Below are 24,865 nucleotides of genomic sequence, written 5' to 3'. Positions count from 1 at the left end.
AAGTTTTTGATGACATGATATTTGCTTTTGTTTTCAGACTATGGTTACAACATGGTAGGTATCTGTATAAACGAATAGTTATAAGTGCTGAAAAAAGCTGGACTACATCATCAGCTTTTTATTCTCTATTGGATATTCCCATTAGCATAAAAACATACTTTTATTTCTTAGTAAAAAATATTCTCTTAATTCTACCAGCTATTGTCCTATCTCTTTACTGTCTTTTGTAGCAATATTTCAAGAGTTATCTATACTTGTTAACTCCAATTTCTGTCCTCCCATTTTCTCTTAAATCTGTTCCAACAAGTGTTTACTATGCCAGATCCATTCTCATCAGAGCCACCTCTGCATTGCCAGTTGTCACTTCTCAGTCCTTTTCTTACTTGAATATCAGCAGTTTTTGGTATAGTTGATCACTGTCATCCTTGATTCATTTTCTTCATGAGGCTTTTAGGGTACCACACTCTCCTAGTTTTTCTCCTACCTTGTTAGCAGCTCCATCTCAGTCTCCTTTGCTTGTTCTTCCTGTTCTCTTTTTTCCTTGAAATCTAAAAATAGATAGTATTTTTAAAAATATCACACAATAAAAGTGACTTTTTTCTTTTGATGTACAGTTCTGTGAATTTTAACAGATGTATAAACTTAAGTAAGCTATACCATAGCCAGGATATGAACAGTTCCATCACCCCAAAAAACTCCCTCCCATTGTAGTTACACTCTTAACACTTGGCAGCCACTGATCTGTTCTCCATCATTATAGTTTTGGTTTTTTTTTAAGAATGTTATATAAATGGAAATATATAGTGTGTTACCTTTCTAGATGGCTTTTTTTACTCAGCATAATGGCTTTGATATATTCCTCTAAGTTGTTGCCTGTATCTATAGTTTATTCTTTCTTTTTGCTGGGTAGTATTCTGTTATATAAATGTACTACAAATTGTTTATCCTGTTAAAGGATATTTGGGTTGTTTCTAATTTTTGGCAGTTATGAATGGAGCTGCTATAAATGTTGATAACCAGTTTTTTTTTTTTTTTGTTAACGTAACTTTTCATTTCTCTAGGGAGAAATCCCAGGAGTGGGATTGCTGGGTAATATGGTAAGTAAGTGTATATTTAACTTAAGAAACTGACAAATGCTTTTCCAGAGCGCCTGTACCATTTTGTATTCACGCCAGCAAAGCATGAGAGTTCTGGTTCTGCATCTTCATCAGCACTTGGTATTGTCAATATTTTTTATTTTACTCATTTTCACTGGTATGTAGTAATATTTCATAATGATTTTAATTTGCGTTTTTCTAAGAGCTAATGATGCTGAACATTTTTTCATGTACTTATTTGCCATTTGTATATTCTCTTCAGAGTAGTACCCACATCTTTTGCCTATTTTTAAATTGACTTGTTCATATTCTTATTTTGAGTTTTTAGAGTTCGTTTTCTATCCTAGATGCAAGTCCTTTATTGGATATGTGTCTTGCAAATATTTTCTCCCAGTCTGTGGCTTGTTTCTTCAATATTTTAATAGTGTCTTTGTCAGAGCAAGAGTTTTTAATGTTAATGAAATCCAACTTACCAGTTTCTTCTTTTATGGAGTCTGCTTTTGGTTACATGTATAAAAACTCTTTGCCTAATCCCAGGTCACAAAGATATCCTGCTGTGTTTTATTCTAAACAGTTTAAACATTTTTGTACAAAATGTGAGGTTTAGATTGAGGTTTGTTTATTCATTTTGCTTATTGATGTTCAATGTTTAGTGTTCAGTGTCCAGTCCTATATATTGAAAAGACTGTCCTCGCTTCATTGAATTGATTTTATTTCTTTTGCAAAATCGATTGGCCATATTTGTGTGGAGACAGGGTCTCACGCTGTTGTCCAGCCTAGAGTCCAGTAGCACGATCATAGCTCACTTGCAGCCTCAAACTCCTGGGCTCAAGCAAACCTCCTGTCTCAACCTCCCAAGGAGCTGGGACACAACAGTTGTGCACCATCATGGCTGGCAATTTTTTCTTTTTTTTTTTTTCTAGAGACAAGATCTCGTGATACTGACCTTGCTGGTCTCGAACTCCTGGCCTCAAATGATCCTCCTGCCTCAGCCTCCCAAAGTGCTGGGATTACAGGCTTGAACCACCATGCCTGGCTGCTTTATAGTATTTCTTAAAGTTCATTTGATTCCTCTAACTTTATTCTTCCCTTTCAGAATTATTTTAGCTCTTCCAGTTCCTTTGGCTTTCTGTATAAATTTTAAAATTAGCTTGTCTATATTTTAAAATATCTGAGATTTTGACTGATATTGCATTAAACCTATATATCAAGTTTAGGAAAATTGAAATCTTCACTATATTGAGTCTTCAATCTGTGAACACAGTATATCTCTCTATTTATTTAGGTCTTCCTGGATTTCTTTCATCACTGTTTTATAGTTTTCAGTCTATAGATGCCTACATGTTTTGTTAGACTTATACCTAAATATTTTACTTTTTTGAAGTTATTATAATTGTTTTTTTTTTTAATTTATGTTTGTATTTGTATATTGCTAGCATAAAGAAATATGTTTGGTTTTTTTATGATGATCTTGTAACTGAGTCCTTGCTAACTGCACTTTTTTGTAAATTCCTTGGGAGTTTCTAGGTAGACAATCATGTTATCTTTGAATAAGGATAGTTTTATATCTTCCTTTCCAATCTGTATATTTTTATTACATTTTCTTCTTGTGTTGCACCAGCTAAGATTTTCAGTACAGTGTTCAATAGGAATGGGGAGAGTGTACATCATTGCCTTATTCCCGATATTAGAAAGGAGGCATTGAGTCTTTCACCATTTAGTATTTTGTTAGATGGAGGATTTTTGTAGATACCCTTTACCAGGTTGAAGAAATTTACTTCTATTCCAGGTTTGCTAAGAGTTTTGTTGTTGCTGTTGTTTTTAGTCATGAACAGTTGTTGTATTTTGTCAAATGCTTTCTTCTGTGTCAAATTGTATGATCATGTTTTTTATTCTTTAGACTGTTAATATGGTGGATTACATAAATTACTTTTCAAATATTGAAACAGCTTTGCATTCACAGAAGAAAGCCCACTTTGTTGTGGTATATTATTCTTTGTATATGTTTCTGGACTTGGTATGCTAATATTTTGTTGAGAGTTTTTGTGTCTATGTTCATGAAAAATATTGGTCTGTGTTTTCTTTTCTTCTTCTTTTTTTTTTTTTTTTTTTGAGACAGAGTCTCACTCTGTCGCCCAGGCTGGAGTGCAGTAGCACAATCTCAGCTCACTGCAACCTCTGCCTCCCAGGTGTAAGCGATCCTCCCACTTCAGCCTCCTGAGTAGCTGGGACCATAGGCATGCACCACACCCAGCTAATTTTTTTTTTTTTTTTTGGTAGAGACAGGGTTTCACCATGTTGCCCAGGCTAGTCTCAAACTCCTGGGCTCGTGTGACCCGCTCACCTCGGCCTCCCAAAGTGCTGGGATTATAGGTATGAGCCACCATGTCCAGCAGTCTATAGTTTTCTTCCTTGTGTTTTCTTTTTTTTTTAAATACTGTTGTTGTCTGGCTTTAGTACAGAACAGTGTTGGGATCATGAAACGAGTTTAGAAGTATTCCTCTTTCTTTTTTCTGAATGAAATTTTATAAAATTGGTATTATTTCTTTTTTAAATATTTGGAAGAATTTGCCTGTGAAACCATCTGTCACTGGAGATTTATTTTTCAGAAAGTTTTTGGCCACCTATTCAATTTCTCTTGTAAATATACAACTATTGGCCAGGCACCATGGCTCATACCTGTAATCCCAGTTGCTTGAGTCCAGGAGTTTGAGACCAGCCTGGGCAATGTGGCAAAACTCCATCTCTACAAAAAATACAAAAAATTAGCCAGGCATGGTGGCATGTACCTGTGGTCCAAGCTACTAGGGAGACCAAGGTGGGAGGATCTTCTGAGCCTGGGAGGTCAAGACTGCAGTGAGCCATGATTGTGCCACTGTACTCTAGCCTGGGTGACAGAGTAAGACCTTAACTCAAAATAACAACAAAAAACAAAAAGACTATTCAGATATCTGTTTAATCTTTGGTGAATGTTGGTAGTTTGAGTTTGTGAGAAATTAGTTGATTTCATTAAAGTTGTCCAATTTGTATGTGTAGTTATCTCTAATAATTCTTTTTATTTATTAATTTTTTTGAGACAGGGCCTCACTTTGTCACCTAGGCTGGAGTGCAGTGGTGTGATCTCGGCTCACTGCAGCCTCAGCTTCCCTGGGCTCAAGTGATCCTCTCACCTTGTTCTCCTGAGTAGCTAGGACCACAGACATGCACAACCATGGCTGGCTAATTTTTGCATGTTTTTGTAGAGATGAAGTTTCACCATGTTGCCTTGGCTGGCTTAGAACTGCTAGGCTCAAACAATACACCCACCTCTCATATAGTAATATAAGACAAAGCAGACTTTGAACACACAAAAAACAATGCAGATAAAGAAGAATATTATGTCATAATAAAAGGGTCAGCTAGTAATTCCACAGTGGCTCATGCCTGTAATCCCAGCCACCGTGGGATTACTGCCAGACCCTTTTATTATTACATGATATTCTTTTTTATCTGTGTTGTTTTTTGTGTGCGTGTTCAAGGTCTACTTTGTCTCATACTACTATAACCATTCCAGTTTTATTTTGATTAGTGTTTACATGGTAATATATTTTCCATGTTTAAACTTTTAATCGTTTTAGTCTACCTATATCATTGTATTTGAAGTGAGGTTTTTGTAGTCAGCTGGTTTTTGATAAATCTTACGGATTATGTTGATAGTTGTTGTTTTAGTAGGCAGTCTATCTGGTTGGGTTCAGACCCCAAGTTTCAACCTGGCTGCTATGGCCTATAATTCCAATGAATGTCACTTCTGTTTATTATATGCTGAATTGGACAGATCTACATGTTCTCTACTTGGGCTGGGGCCAGGAGTTCATAAACCAGTTTATGGGCTTGCTCTCCTGAGTTCTTCATCTCTGTGATCTCCCTAGTACTTTCTGGTTCCCTGAGGCTTCCCTTTTCTGTTCTCTCACCAGAAACTTAGAACAGTTACCCCTTTCTGATGTATACTTGCATATCTAGGTCCAAGCAGCAGGAAAACAGAAAAAGACAGAGTGAGAATTGGTCTCATCCTCTTAGAACTACTGCTCTACCAAAAGAGAGGAAAGTCTCCCTTTTTCAGAATTTTGACTTCTGATGATTCCCGTTGCTACTGGTGCTGCAGCTGCTGCTGCTTTCACTGCCATCACGACAGGATTGCCCGGAGGTTGGGGTATGAGTAAATGGAGAAAAGAAAGTGGAAAAAATGGGGGATTTTTCACACTCTCTCTGAGTATTAGGAGTTCTTTTTCCCACCCTTTGAGAGGCTTTTCCTGGATCTTTCTCTGTATGCACCCCAATACTCACTACTGGGCTTTTGAATGTGTTGAATTCAGTCTGGGTATACTAGAGGGAAAAAAAAAGGATAAACTCACTGCTGGTTCAGTGGTACTTCAAATTCTGGTCTCCTTTCCCAGTCTGTCTGCTACTAATGACTTTTCAGCATCTTCAAATACTACTGCATACATTCTTTCCAAGTTTGAAAGCTGCCTTCAGTGGGAGAGAGTAAAGTGTGCTTACTCCATCTTATCCATCTCTAGAAGCTTAATCTTTTTAACCTATTTATGTCTTTATATTTTAAGTGGGTTTGTTGTAGGCAGTGTATGATCAGATCTTGCTTTTTTATCCAATGTAATAATTTCTGCCTTTTTTATTGGGCTGTTTAGGCTGCTTACATTTAACATGGTTGTTGATATGGTTGTGTTTAAATCTACCATCTTGCTATTTGTTGCCTGTTTGTCATCTGTTCTTTGTTCTCTTCTTATTTTTCTGCCTCCTTTTTTATTATCTTTTGTGATTCCATTTTATCTCCTTTGTTGGCATATTAGCTGTATCTTTTTGTGCATATTTGAGAGTGTATAGTATATACCAGAGGTCAGCAAACTTTTTCTATAAATGTTCAGATAGCCTAAATATTTTAGGTTTTGTAGATCACACTATCTGTTGGAACTACAATTCTGCCATTGTTGCACAAAAGCAGCCATAGACAATAGATAAATGAATAACTGTGGCTGTATCCCAATAAAACTTTATTCACAGAAACAGGTGGCAGGTCAGATCTGGCCTGCAGGCTGTAGTTTGCCAACCTTTGGTTGTACCTTTAGCACCGTCTACTTTCAAGTGATATTGTACTATTTCACTAATAGTATTAGTACCTTATCACAGCACACTTCCATTCTCCTCTACCAGCCTTTGTGCTAATGTTTTCACACATTTTACTTTTATACAAAATGTAAACCTTAAAATACATTGTTATTGTTTTTCTTTTAATAGTTGTATTTTCAGGAGATTTAAATAATAAATGAAGTCATTTGAATTTATCTACATTGCTACTGTTTCCAGTGTTCTTCATTTTTATGTGCAAATTCATATTTTTCATTTGGTATTATTTCCTTCTGCCTGAAGGACTTCATTTAAAATTTTTGCTGTTGCTGGGCAGGATGTCTCACACCTGTAATCCTAGAATTTTGGGAGGCTGAGGTGGGAGGATCACTTGAGTTCAGGAGTTTGAGACCAGCCTGGGCAACAAAGCAAGACCCTGTCTCTACCAAAAAAAAAAAAAAAAAAAAAAAATCGAAGAAAGCAAAAGAAGGAAAGAAAAGAAAAAGAAAAGAAAAAATTAGCTGGGCATGGTGGCATATACCTGTAGTCTCAGCTACTCAGGAGGCTCAAACAGGAGGGAGGATTGCCTGAGCCCAGGAGTTTGAAGCCAGGCATGGTGGCTCATACCATAATCCCAGCACTTTGGGTGGGAAGATTGCTTGAGACTGTCTCTACAAAAAAAAAAAAAAAAGAGAGAGAGAGGGAGGGAGAGGGGAGGGAGAGAGGAGGGAAGGAGAGAGGGAGAGGGGCAGAGAGAGAGAGAGAGGGAGGGAGGAGGAGAGAGAGAGAGAAAAAAAAAGAAAAGAAAAGAAAGAGAAATTAGCCACCATGGTAGCAGGCGTCTGTAGTCCCAGCTAGTAAGGAGGCTGAGGTGGGAAGATCACTTGAGCCCAGAGGTCAAGGCTGCTATGTACTGTGATTGTGCCATGGCACCACAGCCTGGGTAACAGAGTGAGACTGTTGTCTCTTAAAAAACGGAAAAAAGGGCCGGTGTGGTGGCTCACACCTGTAATCTCAGCACTTTGGGAGGCCGAGGCAGGCGGACCATTTGAGGTCAGGATTTTGAGACCAGCCTGGCCAGTGTGGTGAACCCCCGTCTCTACTAAAAATACAAAAATTAGCCGGGCATGGTGGCAGGTGCCTGTAATCCCAGCTACGAGGCTGGAAAATCACTTAAACCCAGGAGGCGGAGGTTGCAGTGAGCTGAGATCACTCCATTGCACTCCAGCCTGGGCAATAGAGCAAGACTCGGTCTCAAAAAAAAAAAAAAAGAAAAAGAAAAAGAAAAACGAAATTTCTACTATTGATGAATTATTTCAGCTTTTCATAAGTCCTTGTCATCCACACGTGAGTTAATGTTAGTGAGGATAGGAGCTGGTTGCCAGGAGAATCACTCATGAGATTAGTGGGTTGGAACCTTCACTCTACCTGACCCCCTGATCTCCCCTGGGGAGGGGAGAGGGGCTGCATTTTGAGCTAATCACCAGTGGCCAATGATTTAATTAATCATGCCTGTATAATGAAGCCTGTATCCTCATGTCCCATAGTCAGCCCTGCGGAACCTGCTTATTTGAAAAGTTGACCCTCCATATGTGTGGGTTGCAAATCTCATGAATACTCTATTTTGTTTTTCTTCCTTTCTTTTTTTTTTTTTTTTTTTGAGATGGAGTTTCACTCTTGTCTCCCAGGCTGGAGTGCAATGGCGTGGTCTTGGCTCACTGCAACCTCCTTCTCCTGGGTTCAGGCGATTCTCCTGCCTCAGCCTCCGGAGTAGCTGGGTCTACAGGCACACACCACCATACCCGGCTAATTTTTGTATTTTTAGTAGACATGGGGATTTTGCCATGTTGGCCAGGCTGGTCTCGAACTCCTGACCTCAAGTGATCCACCTGCCTCGGCCTCCCAAAGTGCTGGGATTACAGGTGTGAGCCACCGTGCCCAGCCTTTCTTTTCATTTTTAAAAAATTTTCATCAATACTGTATTTTCTATTTACATTTGGTTGAAAAAAAAATCCTTGTATAAGTTGACCCATGTTGTTCAATCCCATGTTGTTAGGGGTCACTTGTGCATGTTTTCTATTTATGGAGATACATATTTAGGCAGTTTCATAGAAATGAGATTGGTAAGAAAGTAAACCCCAGTATTGGAGGAACTGCTTCCAACCCTTTCCACCGTTATCACCCTAATTCAGGCCAATGTGATCTCTCCCGTGAATTCTTTACAGTAGCCATGTAACTGGCCTCCTTGTTCCTACCCTTGCCTCAGTATAGTATGTTCTCAACACAGCAGCCAGGATGATAGTAGTCTGCTTAGAATGCTGCAAAAGTTCCTCATTTCACTTAGAGTGAAAGCCAAATTCCATACAATAGTTTACAAGACTCCAACTAATCTGTCACCCTTCCCTGTGTTACTGCTCTAACTTCTCTTTTACTGTCCCACTAGCTCATCCTGCACCAATCATAATGTCCTCCTTGCTATTCTTTGAACATGCCAGGCATGTTCCTGTCTTTGGATCTTTATATTGTCTATTGCCTCAGCTTGTAAAGTTTTTGACTCAGATATTCACATGGGCAAATCCCTCATCTTCTTCAAGTTTTTGCTGAGTTTTTACCTTCTTGTGAGGCAGGCCTACCCTGTCCACCATATTTAAATTTACAATTTACCTTCTAGCCCTTTATACCCAACCTTGATCTACTTTTTTTTTCTATAGCAGTTGTCTTCTAATATACTGCAATTTACTTATTTTTTGTTTATTGCCTTTCTTCTAAAATAGAAGGTCCACAAGGGCTAGATAAATATTTTTAAAAATCTGTTTGGATTAGATGCTGTGGCTTATGCCTGCAATCCCAATGCTTTGGGAGGCCACGGCAGGAGGATCACTTGAAGCCAGGAGTTCAAAACTAGCCTGGGCAACATAGCAAGACCCTAAAAAAATTAGCTGGGCATGGTGGTGTGTGCTTGGAGTTCCAGCTACTTGGGAGGCTGAGGCAGGAGGATCACTTGGCCTCAATGAGCTATGATTGCACCTTTGCCCTCTAGCCTGGCCGACACAGTGAGACTCTGTGTCTAAAAAATAAAAAAATCTGAAGGCATCAGAAAGTACCAAGGCAATGAGAATTTGTGAGGGTAAGATCTGGTAGAAGGGAGAAGCTAAGAGAGGTGAGCCCAACATTTAGGACCACTCAAGGTGATTGCTGTTTACAAAATTAGCAAGGATAAGAGGCTGAGAAACTGAATAGGGCTTTCAGCAGTCTTATGGGGCTAGAAGGGCAAAATGTGGAGAGCTGCTAAGGAGGAGAGCCCCTGGTAAACACCCCAGGCTTTTTATTGGAACCCTGAAGAATTATATATACCCTAGGAGTAGGGGTGAGCCAAAAATAGACTAGTATTCACAAGGGCTGAAACCTAATTTTTATCATCTCGATCCTGCTTAAAGCAATCTTCCTTTAGCTTAATTGCCTGTCAAATAAGAAGAGTAAATTTTTGGAGGAAGGTAACGTGTTCCAGAGCCTCAGGTTATTTCTACAGTTTTCCATATACAATAACTGAAACTCAGTAAAAAATAACCAGTTATGCAAACTGACAAGATTTGACTAAACACCAAGAGGGAAAACAAAAAAAGACAAGAGAAACAGGCCCAGGAAATCCTGATATTGTACTTATCAGATGTATACGTTAACGTCATTAAAGAAGACCTTCCATGTCTGTAGTAGGAGCAAAAAAAAGGGATAAAAAGTTAAAGAAAACCCAAATGGGCCGGATGCGGTGGCTCACACTTGTAATCCCAGTTGCTTTTATTTTCGCTATGAAATTTTGTAACCATGATAAATTATATTTTATATATTATGAATTTGATGTATTGTTTAATATATGAAATAAATTATGGATTTAAGATTAATGTAGCTGGCTGAAAGGAAGTGTTAGTTTTTTATGACCTGTTGTGAACTTCAATATTTCAAGGTTTTCTAAATAATAAAAAGCCCTACCAAGACTTCACACATTGAGGCTGGGCACAGTGGCTCACGCCTGTAATCCTAGCACTTTGGGAGGCTGAGGCAGGTGGATCCCTTGAGCTCAGGAGTTCGAGACCAGCCTGGGCAACATGGCGAAACTCCATCGCTACCAAAAATAGAAAAATTAGCCAGGCGTGATGGTGCATGCCTGTGGTCCTAGCTACTTGGGAGACTGAGGTGAGAGGATCACTTGAGTCTGGGAGGTAGAGGTTGCAGTGAGCCTAGATCACACCACTGCACTCCAGCCTGGGTGACAGAGTGAGACACCATCTCAAAAAAAAAAGACTTCACACATTGAGAAGTCCCTCCAAGTTGGACAGCTGTACAACTAAAAAATCCTGAAAATTTTCTACCATTAGGAAGTAGGTGAATGGGAGGAGTAGATGTGTCCAATGGACAATGAGAATTGGTTTGTTCTGATAATGGAAGATTAAAAGTCAAAGAAAAAAAATGGCTTATAGTCTTCAGTTTTCTTATCAGGATTATTAAATTCACTAATCTTAATTCTTAGTAGACATGTGTCTCTTTGAAAATGAAAGACTTTTTCAGAAGTAATCAAGAAATGTCAGAGTATAATTGGAGGCTGTAAATCACACAGTTCAAGCTGTTAAGACATTCCATAAGCATAGATAACGAAGTCTAAGATTTGACCAATAATTGCAGTCAGTTGTTTATATAAAGCTAAACCATTAGAAGATTTCAGTGTGACATAATCTGTTTTTTAAGACAAAACACATAACATTAAGTTTATCATCTTAACCATTTTTAAGTTCAGTAGTGTTAAGTATATTCACATTGTTATGCAGCAGTTCTCTAGAACTTTTTCATCTTGCAAAACAGAAACTCCATACCCATTAAACACTAATTTCCTCTCCTCCCTACCTCATCCCTTAGCAACCCCTTTTCTGCTTTCTGTTTCTATGACTGATGCAGAAAAATTGGAACCCACATGCACTGTGAGTGGGAATGTAAAATGGTATTTTTACATTATGGAAACAGTATGAAGGTTCCTCAAAAAAAAAAAAAAACAGAATTACCGTATGATCTAGCAATCCCATTTCTGAGTATATATCCAAAAGAATTCAAAGCAGAATTTAAAAATAATCCCATGTTCATTGTAGCATTATTCACAATAGACAAGAGGTGGACACAACCCAAATGTCCACTGATGAATGAATAGATAGAGGAAAGGTGTTATATACATACAATGATGTGTAATGCAGGCTTTAAAAAGAAAGAAATCCTTTCATATGCTACAACATGGATGAGCCTTGAGGACATTGTGCTAAGCGAAATAGCCAGCCACTAATTGACAAATATTGTATGATTCTATTCATATGAAGTATCTCACATAGAAGTGGCTGGCCATTACAGGTGTGAGCCACTGCACCTGACCGCTAGAGACTATTTCTGTTCTGTTTTTCTTCCCAGCTCAGGTTTTGCTTGCCTTCCAGTATCTTTCAGCATCATGCTTTTTTCCAATCTAAACCAAAAAGAAGGAAATGATTCTGTTTACATATGCACTGTTTTCCTGGGATTACCCTCTGCTGCTTTTTCCAGTCTGGATGGAAATTTTCTCTTGAACTCTGCTCTACAGCTTCCTGTCCTTTGAAGCCTTGAAACTGTTATAAAAACTAACTGGCATCAGACACAAAAGATTATTCATTAACTTTTCTCTTCAAGACCTACAGCCCTTTCCAAGCCTGAGTCTAACATTTTTAAAGGACTCATCTTTTTCCTTTCTCTTTAGCAAACATTTTAGAATACATTTGGAGTATGGATAGTTTTTAAACAATTGCTTTATATGCCATATTTAGTTTAAAAGTTATTTATTTATATTAATGTAAATTGTATTTATTTTTATACTTTTATTTTCACTAGTTTTGCTTCTAGGCAAAAAGCAAAATGCTCATGGATAGGAAGAATCAGTATCGTGAAAATGGCCATACTGCCCAAGGTAATTTATAGATTCAATGCCATCACCATCAAGCTACCAGTGACTTTCTTCACAGAATTGGAAAAAACTACTTTAAAGTTCATATGGAACCAAAAAAGAGCCCGCATCGCCAAGACAATCCTAAGCCAAAAGAACAAAGCTGGAGGCATCATGCTACCTGACTTCAAACTATACTACAAGGCTACAGTAACCAAAACAGCATGGTACTGGTACCAAAACAGAGATATAGACCCATGGAACAGAACAGAGCCCTCGGAAATAATACCACACATCTACAACCATCTGATCTTTGACAAACCTGACAAAAACAAGCAATGGGGAAAGGATTCCCTATTTAATAAACGGTGCTGGGAAAACTGGCTAGCCATATGTAGAAAGCTGAAACTGGATCCCTTCCTTACACCTTATACAAAAACTAATTCAAGATGGATTAAAGACTTAAATGTTAGACCCAAAACCATAAAAACCCTAGAAGAAAACCTAGGCAATACCATTCAGGACATAGGCATGGTCAAGGACTTCATGTCTAAAACACCAAAAGCAATGGCAACAAAACCCAAAATTGACAAATGGGATCTAATTAAACTAAAGAGCTTCTGCACAGCAAAAGAAACTACCATCAGAGTGAACAGGCAACCTACAGAATGAGAGAAAATTTTTGCAATCTACCCATCTGACAAAGGGCTAATATCCAGAATCTACAAAGAACTCAAACAAATTTACAAGATAAAAACAACCCCATCAAAAAGTGGGCAAAGGATATGAATGGACACTTCTCAAAAGAAGACATTTATGCAGCCAACAGACACATGAAAAAATGCTCATCATCACTGGCCATCAGAGAAATGCAAATCAAAACCACAATGAGAAACCATCTCACACCAGTTAGAATGGCAATCATTAAAAAGTCAGGAAACAACAGGTGCTGTAGAGGATGTGGAGAAACAGGAACACTTTTCCACTGTTGGTGGGACTGTAAACTAGTTCAACCATTGTGGCAGACAGTGTGGCGATTCCTCAAGGATCAAGAACTAGAAATACCATTTGACCCAGCCATCCTATTACTGGGTATATACCCAAAAGATTATAAATCATGCTGCTATAAAGACACATGCACACATATGTTTATTGTGGCACTATTCACAGTAGCAAAGACTTGGAACCAACCCAAATGTCCATCAATGATAGACTGGATTAAGAAAATGTGGCACATATACACCATGGAATACTATGCAGCCATAAAAAAGGATGAGTTCATGTCCTTTGTAGGGACATGGATGAGGCTGGAAACCATCATTCTCAGCAAACTATCACAAGGACAAAAAAACCAAACACCACATGTTCTCACTTATAGGTGGGAATTGAACAATGAGAACATTTGGACACAGGAAGGGGAACATCACACACTGGGGCCTGTTGTGGGGTGCGGGGAGTGGGGAGGGATAGCATTAGGAGATATACCAAATGCAAATGACGAGTTAATGGGTGCAGCACACCAACATGGCACATGTATACATATGTAACAAACCTGCATGTTGTGCACATGTACCCTAGAACTTAAAGTATAATAAAAAAAAAGAAAAAAAATTATTTTCCCGTAGGCACATTATAAATGGTGGTTCAATGTCTCAAACTCCTAAGTCTTTTTTAACTTGAATCACAGTGCTATTTAATTTATAAGTGACAGTAGCTATATCCTTGTTTTTAGGGCACAGGGACACATTTCCCATGATTTATTCTAGTATTGCATAGAGAAAAGTACTGTGCCTACAGTGTCCCAGTAATTTGTTTAACTTTCAATGCTACCAGCATAGAATCATAGACTGTATGAACTAGACGGGACTTCAGAGATAAAATAGTTTTAACTGCTTATTTTATGAGGGAGAAAATTGAGAGCCAGGGAAGCTATTATAAATGACATCTCTTTGAGTAGCATCTTCTCACCGCACATCAGTGAAATTTGCATGTTTTTTTCTTATTTTTTGTTGTATAAATTTAATGTATACAACATGATGTTTTCATATACAAGTACATATATAAATATATAGTGATATTCAATTACATATATACATAGTGAAATTATTATAAAATTATAAAATGTTTGTAAAATTATATATTATTATATAATTTATTATTATAAAATTCTAAAATTTTTTGATCTTTCTGCTTAGAATACCTGATCAACTCCTTAGTATCCGTCAAGTTTCAGTTATTCAGTGAGACTTTGTGTCAGCTGCCCTGCCCCAGCATATAAACTGGTCACTCCAATCTTTATGTTCTCTCCATACATTGTATAATTGTATATAACTTTTATATCACTTGTTAGCTACTAATTGTAAGAAGTCACTAGACAGCTCTATACTTCAGTTTGGTCATCCATAAAATAATAATAATAATAGTACTACCTTTTAGTAGCTACTATCATCATTAATTAATTGTGATTGTGATTTTTTTTTTTTTTTTTTTTTTTGAGACAGAGTCTTGCTTTGTCTCCCAGGCTGGAGTTCAGTGGCCCAGTCTTGGCTCACTGCAACCTCCACCTCTTGAGTTTAAGTGATTCTCGTGCCTCAGCCTCCCGAGTAGCTGGGGCTATGGGTACACACCACCGTGCCCAGCTAATTTTTTGTATTTTTAGTGGGGACTGGGTTTCGCCATGTTGGCGAGGCTGGTTTCAAATTCCGGAGCTTAAGTGGTCCACCCACCTCAGCCTCCCAAAGTGCTAGAATTACAGACATGAGCCACAGCACCCGGCTGTGATTTTGATTTAAATGCCTGACTTCCCCACCACTGCTCTGTGAGTTCATTGGCTCACCAGGGGCAAGAATATTATATATTATTCATCTTTATAAGCATTATATGTTTTTTATTAAACTTTTTATTTTGAGATAATTATAAATTTATATGCAATCCTAAGAAATAATGTAAAGAGATCCCAAATGCCCTTTACCTAATTTCCCCCAATGATAACACCTTCAAACTATAGTAGAATATTACAACCAGGATATTGACATTGATATATTTAAGATTCAAAATGTTTACATCACCACGAGAATCCATCCCATTGTTACTTTATAGCTATACTCATTTCCATCTGGTATTACTCTCTCCATCAACATCCTAATCCCTGCCAACCACTAATCTGTTCTCCTATAATTTTACCATTTCAAAAATGTAAATGTTACATAGATGGAATAGTATAATGTAGCTTTGGGGGATTGTCTCTTTTCACTCAGCATAATTCTCTGGAGATTTTAAGTTGCATGGTGCTGTTGTGTGTTATCAATTGCATGTTTTTTTATTGTTGAGTAGTATTCCATGGTATGAATGTACACTACAGTTTAACTGTTCACCCACTGAAGGACATCTGAATGACTTCCAGTTTTTAGCTGAATATGAATTATGAATAAAGCTGCTTTCAAGAGGTTTATGTGTTCAGTTTTAATTTTCCTGAATGCCCAGGAGTGCAATTGCTAAGTCATTTGTTAGTTGTATGTTTAGTTTTTTAAGACACTCTGAATCTGTTTTCCAGTTCACTGTACCATTTTACATTTCCACCAACAACTTACAAGTGATTCGGTTTTTCTGCATTCTCATCAGTGTTTGGTGGTGTTGCTATTTTTTTTTATTTTAGCCATTCTGATAGGTGTGTTGTGATATCTCATTGTGGTTTTAATTTGTTTTTCCCTAGTGGCCTGTTATGTTGAACATCTTTTTATTTGCCATCTGTCTATCCTTTTTGGTGAGATGTCTCTTCATGTCTTTTGCCCATTTGCTAATTGCGTTGTTTGGTTTTTGGGTTTTGTGTGTGTGTGTGTGTGTGTGTGTGTGTTTTAAGTGTTCTTTGTATATTATAAATAGTGTTCCTTTGTTTGATAATTAGTTTGCAAATATTTTCTCCCAGTCTGTAGCTTGTCCTTTCATCCTATTAATAGGTTCTTTAATAGAGCAAGAGTTTGTAATTTTGACGAACTCCAGTTTACAGTATTTCTTTTTATGATGCTGGGCATGGTGGCCCACGCCTGTAATCCCAACACTTTGGGAGGCCAAGGCATGTGGATCACTTGAGGTCAGGAGTTCGAGACCAGCCTGGCCAACATGGCGAAACCCTGTCTCTACTAAAAATACAAAAATTAGCCGGGCATGGTGGCAGGCACCTGTAATTCCAGCTACTCAGGAGGCTGAGGCAGGAGAATCACTTGAACCCGGGAGGCGGAGGTTGCAGTGAGCTGAGATCACACTGCTGCACTGCAGCCTGGGTGACAGAGCAGAACTCCATCTCAAAAAAAAAAAAAATTTCCTTTTATGGATTATGTTTTTGGTGTCAAGTCTAGGGACTCTTAGCCCTTGATCCTGAAGATTTTTTTCTATTCTTCTAAAACTTTTATAACTTTACATTTAATCTGTGGTTCATTTTGAGTTCATTTTTGTGTAAGGTGTGAAGTTTAAGTCAAAGTTTATTACTTGTATTATTTTTTGCCGTGGACATTTAGTTGTATCATTTGTTCAAAAGACTTTATTTTCTCTCCATTGTATTGCTTTTGTACCTTTGTAAAAAATCAGGATTATAGCAAGGTTGAAGGAAGCAGGTAAATATATGAAAGTCAATTGCTTTCCTATATGTCAGCAATGAACAACTGGAATTTGAAATTTAAAATAACACTATTTATATTAGGACTTCTCCCCACCAAAAAAAGAAAGAGAAACATATACATAACTCTTAAAAAAAAATGCAAGATCTGGCTGGGCATGGTGGCTCACGCCTGTAATCCCAGCACTTTGGGAGGCTGAGGCGGGCGGATCACGAGGTCAGGATATCGAGACCATCCTGGCTAACATGGTGAAACCTCGTCTCTATTAAAATACAAAAAATTAGCCAGGGGTGGTGGCGGGCGCCTGTAGTCCCAGCTACTCGGGAGGCTGAGGCAGGAGAATGGCATGAACTCAGGAGGCAGAGCTTGCAGTGAGCTGAGATTGCGCAATTGCGCTTCAGCCTGGGCAACAGCGAGACTCTGTCTCAAAAAAAAAAAAAAAAAAAAAAAAACAAGATGTATGTGAGGAAAAGTATAAAACTCTGATGAAAGAAATCAAAGAAGACCTAAATAAGGGGAAAGATGTTTCATGTTCGTGGATAGGAAGACTCAATATTATCAAGTTGTCAGTAGGCGAATGGGTAAATAATCTGTGGTATTTCCAGACAATGAGATATTTTTTGGTGCTAAAAAGAGCTGTCAAGCCATGAGAAGACATGCAGGAACTTTGAATGCATATTAAGTGAAAGAAATCAGTATAAAAAGGCTACATACTGTATGATTCCAAGTATATGACATTTGGGAAAAGGTAAAACTTTAGACAGTAAAAAAAAGAAGAAAAACCTAGTGGTTGCCAGAGGTTTGTGGAGTAGTAGCAGGGAAAGGATGAATAAGTGGAGCACTAGGGATATTTGAGGCAGTGAAACTATTCTGTATGATACTGTAATAGTAGATACATGGCATTATGCATTTATCAAACTCATAGACCTATACAACATAAAGGATGGACCCTAATATTAACAAATGTACTTTAAAACAAATAAATATTAGCTGGCACGTTTATGTGAGTCTATTTTTGGATTCCCTGTTCCATTGATTTATGTGCCTCTCCCTCCAGTGCTACATAGTTTTAATTACTATATCTCTGTAACAACTCTTAAAATAGTGGGCCAGGGGCGGTGGCATACACCTGTAATCCCAGCACTTTGGGAGGCCAAAGCGGGAGGATCGCTTGAGGCCAGGAGTTCAAGACCAGCCTGGGCAACATAATGAGACCCTGTCTCTACAAAAATTAAACAAACAAAAAACTAGCTGGGCATGGTGTGTGCCTGTGGTCACAGCTATTTGGGAGGCTGGAGGTGGGAGGATTGCTTGAGCCCAGGGAGTTGAGGCTGCAGTGAGCTGTGATGACAGACTAAGACAGTGTCAAAGAAAGAAAGAGAGAGAAAGAAAGAGTGTAGACTGTTTCTTTCTACCTTATTCTTCTTTTTCCGTATTTAAGTGCCTTTGACTTTCCATATAAATTTTAGAATAATCTTGTCTATGTTGTCTATGTCTGCAAAAAAATCTTTCCAGAATTTTGATGGGAATTACATTAATGGCATTTAGAAAGAATTGACATTTTTACTATATTGAGTCTTCTAATCCATGAACATGGAATGTCTCTTCATTTATTTAGATCTATGTTTTCTTTCACCAGTAGTATTTTATAGTTTCCAGCATAAAAGTTCTGTATATGTTTTGTTAGATTTATATTATACTCCCTCGTCTTTTCTTCTTTTTTCAGTGACTCTAAATAGTATTAAGTTTTTAGTTTGGGTTTCTATATGTTCATTACTAGTATATAGAAATACAGTTTATTTTTCATATGTTCATCTTATGTCATGTGACCTGACTGAACTCACTGATTCACCACTGCTTTGTACAGTAAGAGTGGTGAGGGCTCAAGCCTGTAATCCTAGCACTTTAGGAGGCTGAGGCGGAAGGATGGCTTGAGGCCAAGAGTTTGAGACCAGCCTGGGCAACAAAGCAAGACCCCATCTCTAAAAAAAAAATTTTTTTTTTTAAATTAGCCTGGCATCGTGGTGTGCACCTGTAGGCCCAGCTACCCAGGAGGATCCCTTAAACCTGGGAGATCAAGTATGCAGTGAACTATGATGGCAGCATGGCACTCCAGCCTAGGTGACAGAATGAGACCCTGTCTCTTTTAAAAAAAAAAAAAAAGTGAGAGCAGAATCTTGCCTTGTTCCCTATCTTAGCGTAAAGCATTTAATCTTTCACCATTAAGTATGTTAGCTGTAGGTTTTTTGTAGATGCTCTGTATCAAATTGAGGAATTTAATGTGTATTAAATTTTGTCCAAATACTTTTCCTGTGTCAACTGATATGATTATATGATTATTGGGTGATTTTTTTTTAGCCTGTTAATATGATGGAGCGCATTAGTTGATTTCCAAATATTATATCAGCTTTGCAGCCCTGGACTGAATTCTACTTGGTCATGGTGTACTATTCTTTTTATATATCGTTGACTTCTGAGTGCTCATGTTTTGTTAAGGATTTTTGTCTCATATTTATGAGGGATATTTGTCCTTAGTTTTCTTACTTGATACTGTCTTTGGTTTTGGTATCAGGGTAAAGGTAGTTTAATAAAGTGATTTGGCAGCTGGTCACAGTGTCTTGTGCCTGTAATCCCAGCTACTCGGGAGAACGAGGTGGTAGCATTGCTTGAGCCCAGGAGTTCCAGGCCATAGTGAGCTGTGATCGTGCTACTGCACTCCAGGATAGTTGACAGAGTGAGACCCCATCTCTTAAAACAAGTTGTTGTTGTTTTTCTAATAAAATGATTTGGGGAGTGTTCTCTTCTCTTACATTTCTATAAGCAATTATGTAGAATTGATATAAATTCATTTTTTTTTTCCTTTTTGTGGAGAACAGAGTCTCACTATGTTGTCCAGGTAGGTGTTGAACTCCTGAGCTCAAGCTATCCTCCTGCTTCTGCCTCTCTAAGTGCTGGGATTACAGGTGTGAGCCACTGTGCCCAGCATTGATTCATTTTTGAACATTTGGTAGGATTCTCCAGTAAAATAATTTGGGCACAAGGATTTCCCTTGGGAGTTTTGAGATTATGGATTCAATTTTCTTGATAGTGTTAGGGCTGTTTCAGTTAATCTGTTTCTTACTGGATGAGTTTTGGTAGTTTGTGCTTTCTAAGGAATTGGTTTTTTTTCTTTTCATCTGTGTCCTTAAATGTGTGTGCGTAGAGTTGTTCATAGTATTTACTTATTATTCTTTTGAAGTCTGCAGGGCTGGTAGTAATATTCCTTGTTTCATTCCTCATGTTGGTATTGTGTCTTCTCTTTTTTCCTTTGTCATTCTTGCTGAAGGTTTATCAATTTTATTTATTTTTTCAGTGAACCAGATTTTTGTTTCATTGATTTTTTTTTTTTCAGTTTCATGGATTTCTTCTCTTTACCTTTATTACTTCCTCCTTTCTGCTTGGTTTATTTCAATTTTCCTAGATTTTTCAGGTGGAACTTATGTTAATTTGAGATTTTTTTTTCCTTTAAAATTTTTTTTAAATTTAATTAATTATTTTTGAGACAAGGTCTCGCTCTGTCACCCAAGCTGGAGTGCAGCGGTGCAATCAAGGCTCACTGTAACCTCAAGCTCCTGGGTTCAAGCAATCCTCCCACCTCAGTCTTCAGAGTAGCTAGGGGTGCAAGCTCTTGCCACCATGCCCAGCTAATTTTTAAAATTTTTTTGTAGAGATAAGATATTGCTATGCTGCCCAAGCTGATCTCAAACTCCTGGCCTCAAGCGATTCTCCTGCCTTGGCCTCCCAAAATGCTGGGATTATAGGCATGAGCCATTGTGCCGGCCTTCCTTTTTTTTTTTTTTTGTGAAACGGAGTTTTGCTTTTGTTAGCCAGGCTGGAGTGCAATGACGCAATCTCGGCTCCGCCTCCCAGGATTAAGAGATTCTCCTGCCTCAGCCTCCCGAGTAGCTGGGATTACAGGCGCTTGCCACCATGCCCGGCTAATTTTTGTATTTTTAGTAGAGACAGGGTTTCACCATGTTAGCCAGGGTGGTCTCAAACTCCTGACCTCGTGATTCCCCCTGCGTTGGCCTCCCAAATTGCTGGGATTATAGGCGTGGCCTTTTGTTTTTTTTTGTTTTTTTTGATGTAAAGCAGTTCCTGCTATAAATTTCCCTCTCAGCATTGCTCTACCTGCATTCCACAAATTTTTGTCTGTTATATTTTCATTTTTATTCAGTTTAATATATATTCTTCATTTTCCTTGAGACTTCTTTGACCCCTGGATTATTTAGAAGTATGTTGTTTAATTTCCAAGTGTTGGGTGATTTTCCTGTTACCTTTCTGTTATTGACTTCTAGTTTGATTGTTTAAAAAAATATGGTCAGATAACACACTCTGTATTATTTTCATTCTTTTAAATTCATTGAAATTTGCCTCATTACCTGGAAATGGTCTATTTTGGCATATGTTTCACAAGTATGTGAAAAACAATGTTTATTCTGCTTTGCTGGAGGAGATGTTTTATAAATATCGATTGAATTCTCTTGGTTGATGGCATTGTTGAGTTCTTCTATATATTTATTCCTTGTTGATTTTCTGTATAGTTGTTCTGTCAGTTGCTGAGAGAGGTATTAACTGTATTGTGGATTTGTCTGTATCTTTTTTCAGGTCAGTCAGATTTTGCTTCACATGTTTTGCAGCATGTTGGTTCATACAAATTTAGGATTGCTGTGTCTTCTGGGTTAATTGACTCTATCATTATGTAATGTCCCTCACTTTCTGATAATTTTATTTGCTCTAAAGTCCCTCTGGTAATATAACTACTACTTTCTTTTGATTAATGTTTTCATGATACATCTTTTTCCTTTCTTTTACAATCTTACCTGTATTGTTATATTTGAAGTGAGCTCCTTCTAGACAGGATATACTTGGGTCATGTTTTTAAAATATCTGCTCTACCAATCTCTTGTCTTTTAGTTGGTATATTTAGACCATTTTCATTTAATGTATGTTTTGACATGTCTTTCATTTTATTTTTTGTTTTCTGTTTATTGCTGATTTCTGTTTCTGTTTTCTTTTGCCTTTCTTTTTCTGTGGGTTGTTACTTGAACATTTTTTAGAATTCGATTTTGATCTATCTATAGCATTTGTAGTGTATCTCTTTTTACAGTTTTTATATAATAGCTATTCTAGGTTTTATGTTCTGTATACATAATTTAATCATAGTATACTGATGTTGATATTTTACCACTTCAAGTGAAGTATAGAAACCTTACTTTTCTTTATATCTCTTTACTTTCTCCATTTATAATTGGCTTAAATATTTTCTCTACATACATTTAGAAGCAGATCAGACAGTGTTATAATTTTTTTTTCCAAGTGTCAAATACAATTTAGAAAACTCAATTGGAGAAGGAAAACCTATTTAATTTACTCATATTTTTGTTTACTGCCTTTTTTCTTCTTGGTGTTTTGAGATATCTTCTTTTATCATTTCCCCTCTGTTTGGGAAACTTCCTTTAGCTACTGTTTTAGGGTAGACAGCAGATTTGTTTTAATGTCTTGATTTTGCCTTCATTTCTGAAGGGTTTTTGTTTTTGTTTTTGCTGGAGATAGAATTTGGGGTTTATAGTTGTTTTCTTTCAACACTTGAAAAAACTGTGTTATTTCTTCTGGCCTGCCTGGTTTCTGATGAGAAATCTGCTACCATTTGAATTGTTTTCTCCTGTAGGTGTTATTTCTCTTGCTGCTTTTAAGGTCTGGGGTTTTGTTTACTTGTTTGGTTTTCTTGTCTTTAGTTTTCAGAAGTTTAACTATGATGTATCTTGACGTGGATTTCTTTGGGTATAATCCTCTTTGGGGTTTATTCAGCTTCTTGAATCTGTAGCTTTATGTCTTTTGCCAAATTTGGGGAGTTTTCAGACATTATTTCAAGTATTTTTTCAGCTCTGCCCTCTTTTTTCTGCTTCTGGGATTCCAGTGAGATTAGATCTTTTGTTGTAGTCTGACAGGTCCCTGAGACTCTGGTGTGGTTTTCTGTTTTGTTTTGTTTTAGTCTATTCTCTGTTTTTCAGATTAGGTAATTTCTGTTATTCTGTCTTCAAGTTTACCGATTTCTCTGTTTCGTCCATCTGCTGCTGAGTCCATACATTTTTTTATTTCAGTTATTGTATTCTTCTGTTTTAAAATTTCCACTTTGTTCTTCTTTGTATCTTCTGTTTCTCTGCTGAGAGATTCTATTTTTTCATTTCTTTCACATACAGTTGTCATTGCTCATTGAAAATGTTTTTATAATGGATACTTTAAAATCTTTGTGACAAAATTCTATATCCCTGTCACTTTGGTGTTGATATCTACTTATTGTCTTTTTTTATTCAAGTTGAGATTTTCTTTGTTCTTGGTGTATCGAGTGATTTTAAACCTGGACATTTGGGGCATTATATTATAAGACTCTGGATTTTATTTAAACTTCCGTTTTAGCTGGTTTCCTCTGATACTCTTGTGGCAGAGGTAGGAAGGGAGCAGCCTCATTATTGCTAGGTGGAGGTAGAAGTCCTGGTTCTCCACTCAGGCCCCTCCATGCTTAGAGAATTAGGAATCCTTCATTACTGTTCCTTGCATGGCCTCTACTGACACCAGAGGTGGAAGGGTGGTGGCCTCGTTACCACTGGGTAGTGAAAGTCCTGATTTTCCACTGGGCTTCATCTGACACCACTGCAGCAGGGAGAGGAGGACATAGGGGGCACCTTGTTATAGCCTGACAGATATAGAAGGCTCCCCACTCAGCCTTGGTGGGGGTTTGGTTTCAGTGTTCTCTGTGCTGTTTGTCTGGAGTAGAACTGTTATTGTCTAAAAGTGCCTTTGTCTTCCTAGGCTGCCCTTTAGTTAGAGAGAGCAGGCTTTTTTGTTGGGGTTGGATTTTTTGTGTTTTTCTGTGTTTTTTGGTCTGCATCTGTTGGCATTTCTTGGTTGCAGGCTTATTCACACCTCCAACTCTGAGATATATGAAACAAAAAGAAAACCCAGGGAAATCCTCACTGTGTCATTCCTTGGGTCCTGAAGTTCCTAACCAGTCTGCCTTCTGCCCTCCACCTTTCAGAGTCTTTTTATGTTTGTTTTGTATATAATGTCCAGGGTTTGTTGGATGTATTCATGGGAAGAATAGGAAAAAATATATCTACTCCATCTTCCCAGAAGAAGTTACTAATGGCTGTTATATAAGTTTTAACTGTCATTACTTGTCATTGAGTGTTTACTATATGTTTAGCACTAGTCTGAGTGTTTTGCATACATTTGTTTATTTAATCCTTGCAATGACATGAAATGCAGATTATTATCACCATTTTACATATGAAGAAGCTGTGGTACTGAAAGGTCAAGCAGCTTTCTCAAGACATATAGCTGTTGAGTGACAGAGTCAGCCTTTGAACCCAGGTCTGATTCCAGAGCCAGTTTTCTTTAACACTTGATAATACTGTTTCTCTGGGTATTAGCCTCAATATACTGATATTATTTAAAACTATTAAATAAGTTAATGAGTAAGACAGAATGTAATTAATTGTGTACTATAGATAATAGGTGCCAAACAGGTTAGCAGAGTGAGAAATCAGTATAATTTGAGATCATCAAGGAAGATATTTGGAGTTCATGAGATTTGAACTGTTTAAGAGAGATTAATGGAATTTGGATAGACAGAGAAAGACAAGGATTAGGAAAAGGAAGCATCAAGAATGATTCTTGGTCAGGTGTGGTGGCTCATGCCTCTAATCCCAGCACTTTAAGAGGCTGAGGTGAGGGGATCACTTGAGCCCCGTCATTTAGACCAGACTGGGCAACATAGTGAGACCCTGTCTCTACAAAGGAAAAATTAGCTGGGTGTGGTGACACATACCCATAGTCCTAGCTACTTGAGAGGCTGAGGCAGAAGTGAGCCCAGAAATTCAGGGCCACAGTGAGCTATGATTGTGCCACTGCACTCCAGCCTAGGCAACAGCAAGACCCTGTCTCAAAAAAAAAAAAAAAAAGAAGAAGAAAAAAAAAGATTCCTATCTATAAATGAGTGGATAAAGAAAGAGGTTTGGGGTGAAGAAGAATCAAGTTTTATACACATT

The 24,865-nt window shown here is 37.7% G+C and overlaps 1 protein-coding gene across 3 annotated transcripts in view, besides 1 other annotated feature; it reads left to right on the top strand.

Moving 5' to 3' along the window:
* Positions 1 to 24,865, top strand: part of ZSWIM5 (zinc finger SWIM-type containing 5) — a 190,207-nt gene that overhangs the window by 60,225 nt on the left and 105,117 nt on the right. The gene's annotated exons all lie outside the window — the stretch shown is intronic.
* Positions 11,650 to 11,944: an enhancer, noted in NCBI's record as "tiled region #10410; HepG2 Activating DNase matched - State 5:Enh". NCBI's record gives its function as "activates a minimal TATA promoter and a strong SV40 promoter by Sharpr-MPRA in HepG2 cells {active_cell/tissue: HepG2}" and the evidence as "EXISTENCE:reporter gene assay evidence [ECO:0000049][PMID:27701403]".

The sequence above is a fragment of the Homo sapiens genome, chromosome 1, assembly GCF_000001405.40.
Source record: "Homo sapiens chromosome 1, GRCh38.p14 Primary Assembly".
Lineage (NCBI taxonomy): Eukaryota > Metazoa > Chordata > Mammalia > Primates > Hominidae > Homo > Homo sapiens.
This window is presented reverse-complemented; position numbering and strand designations above follow the sequence as displayed.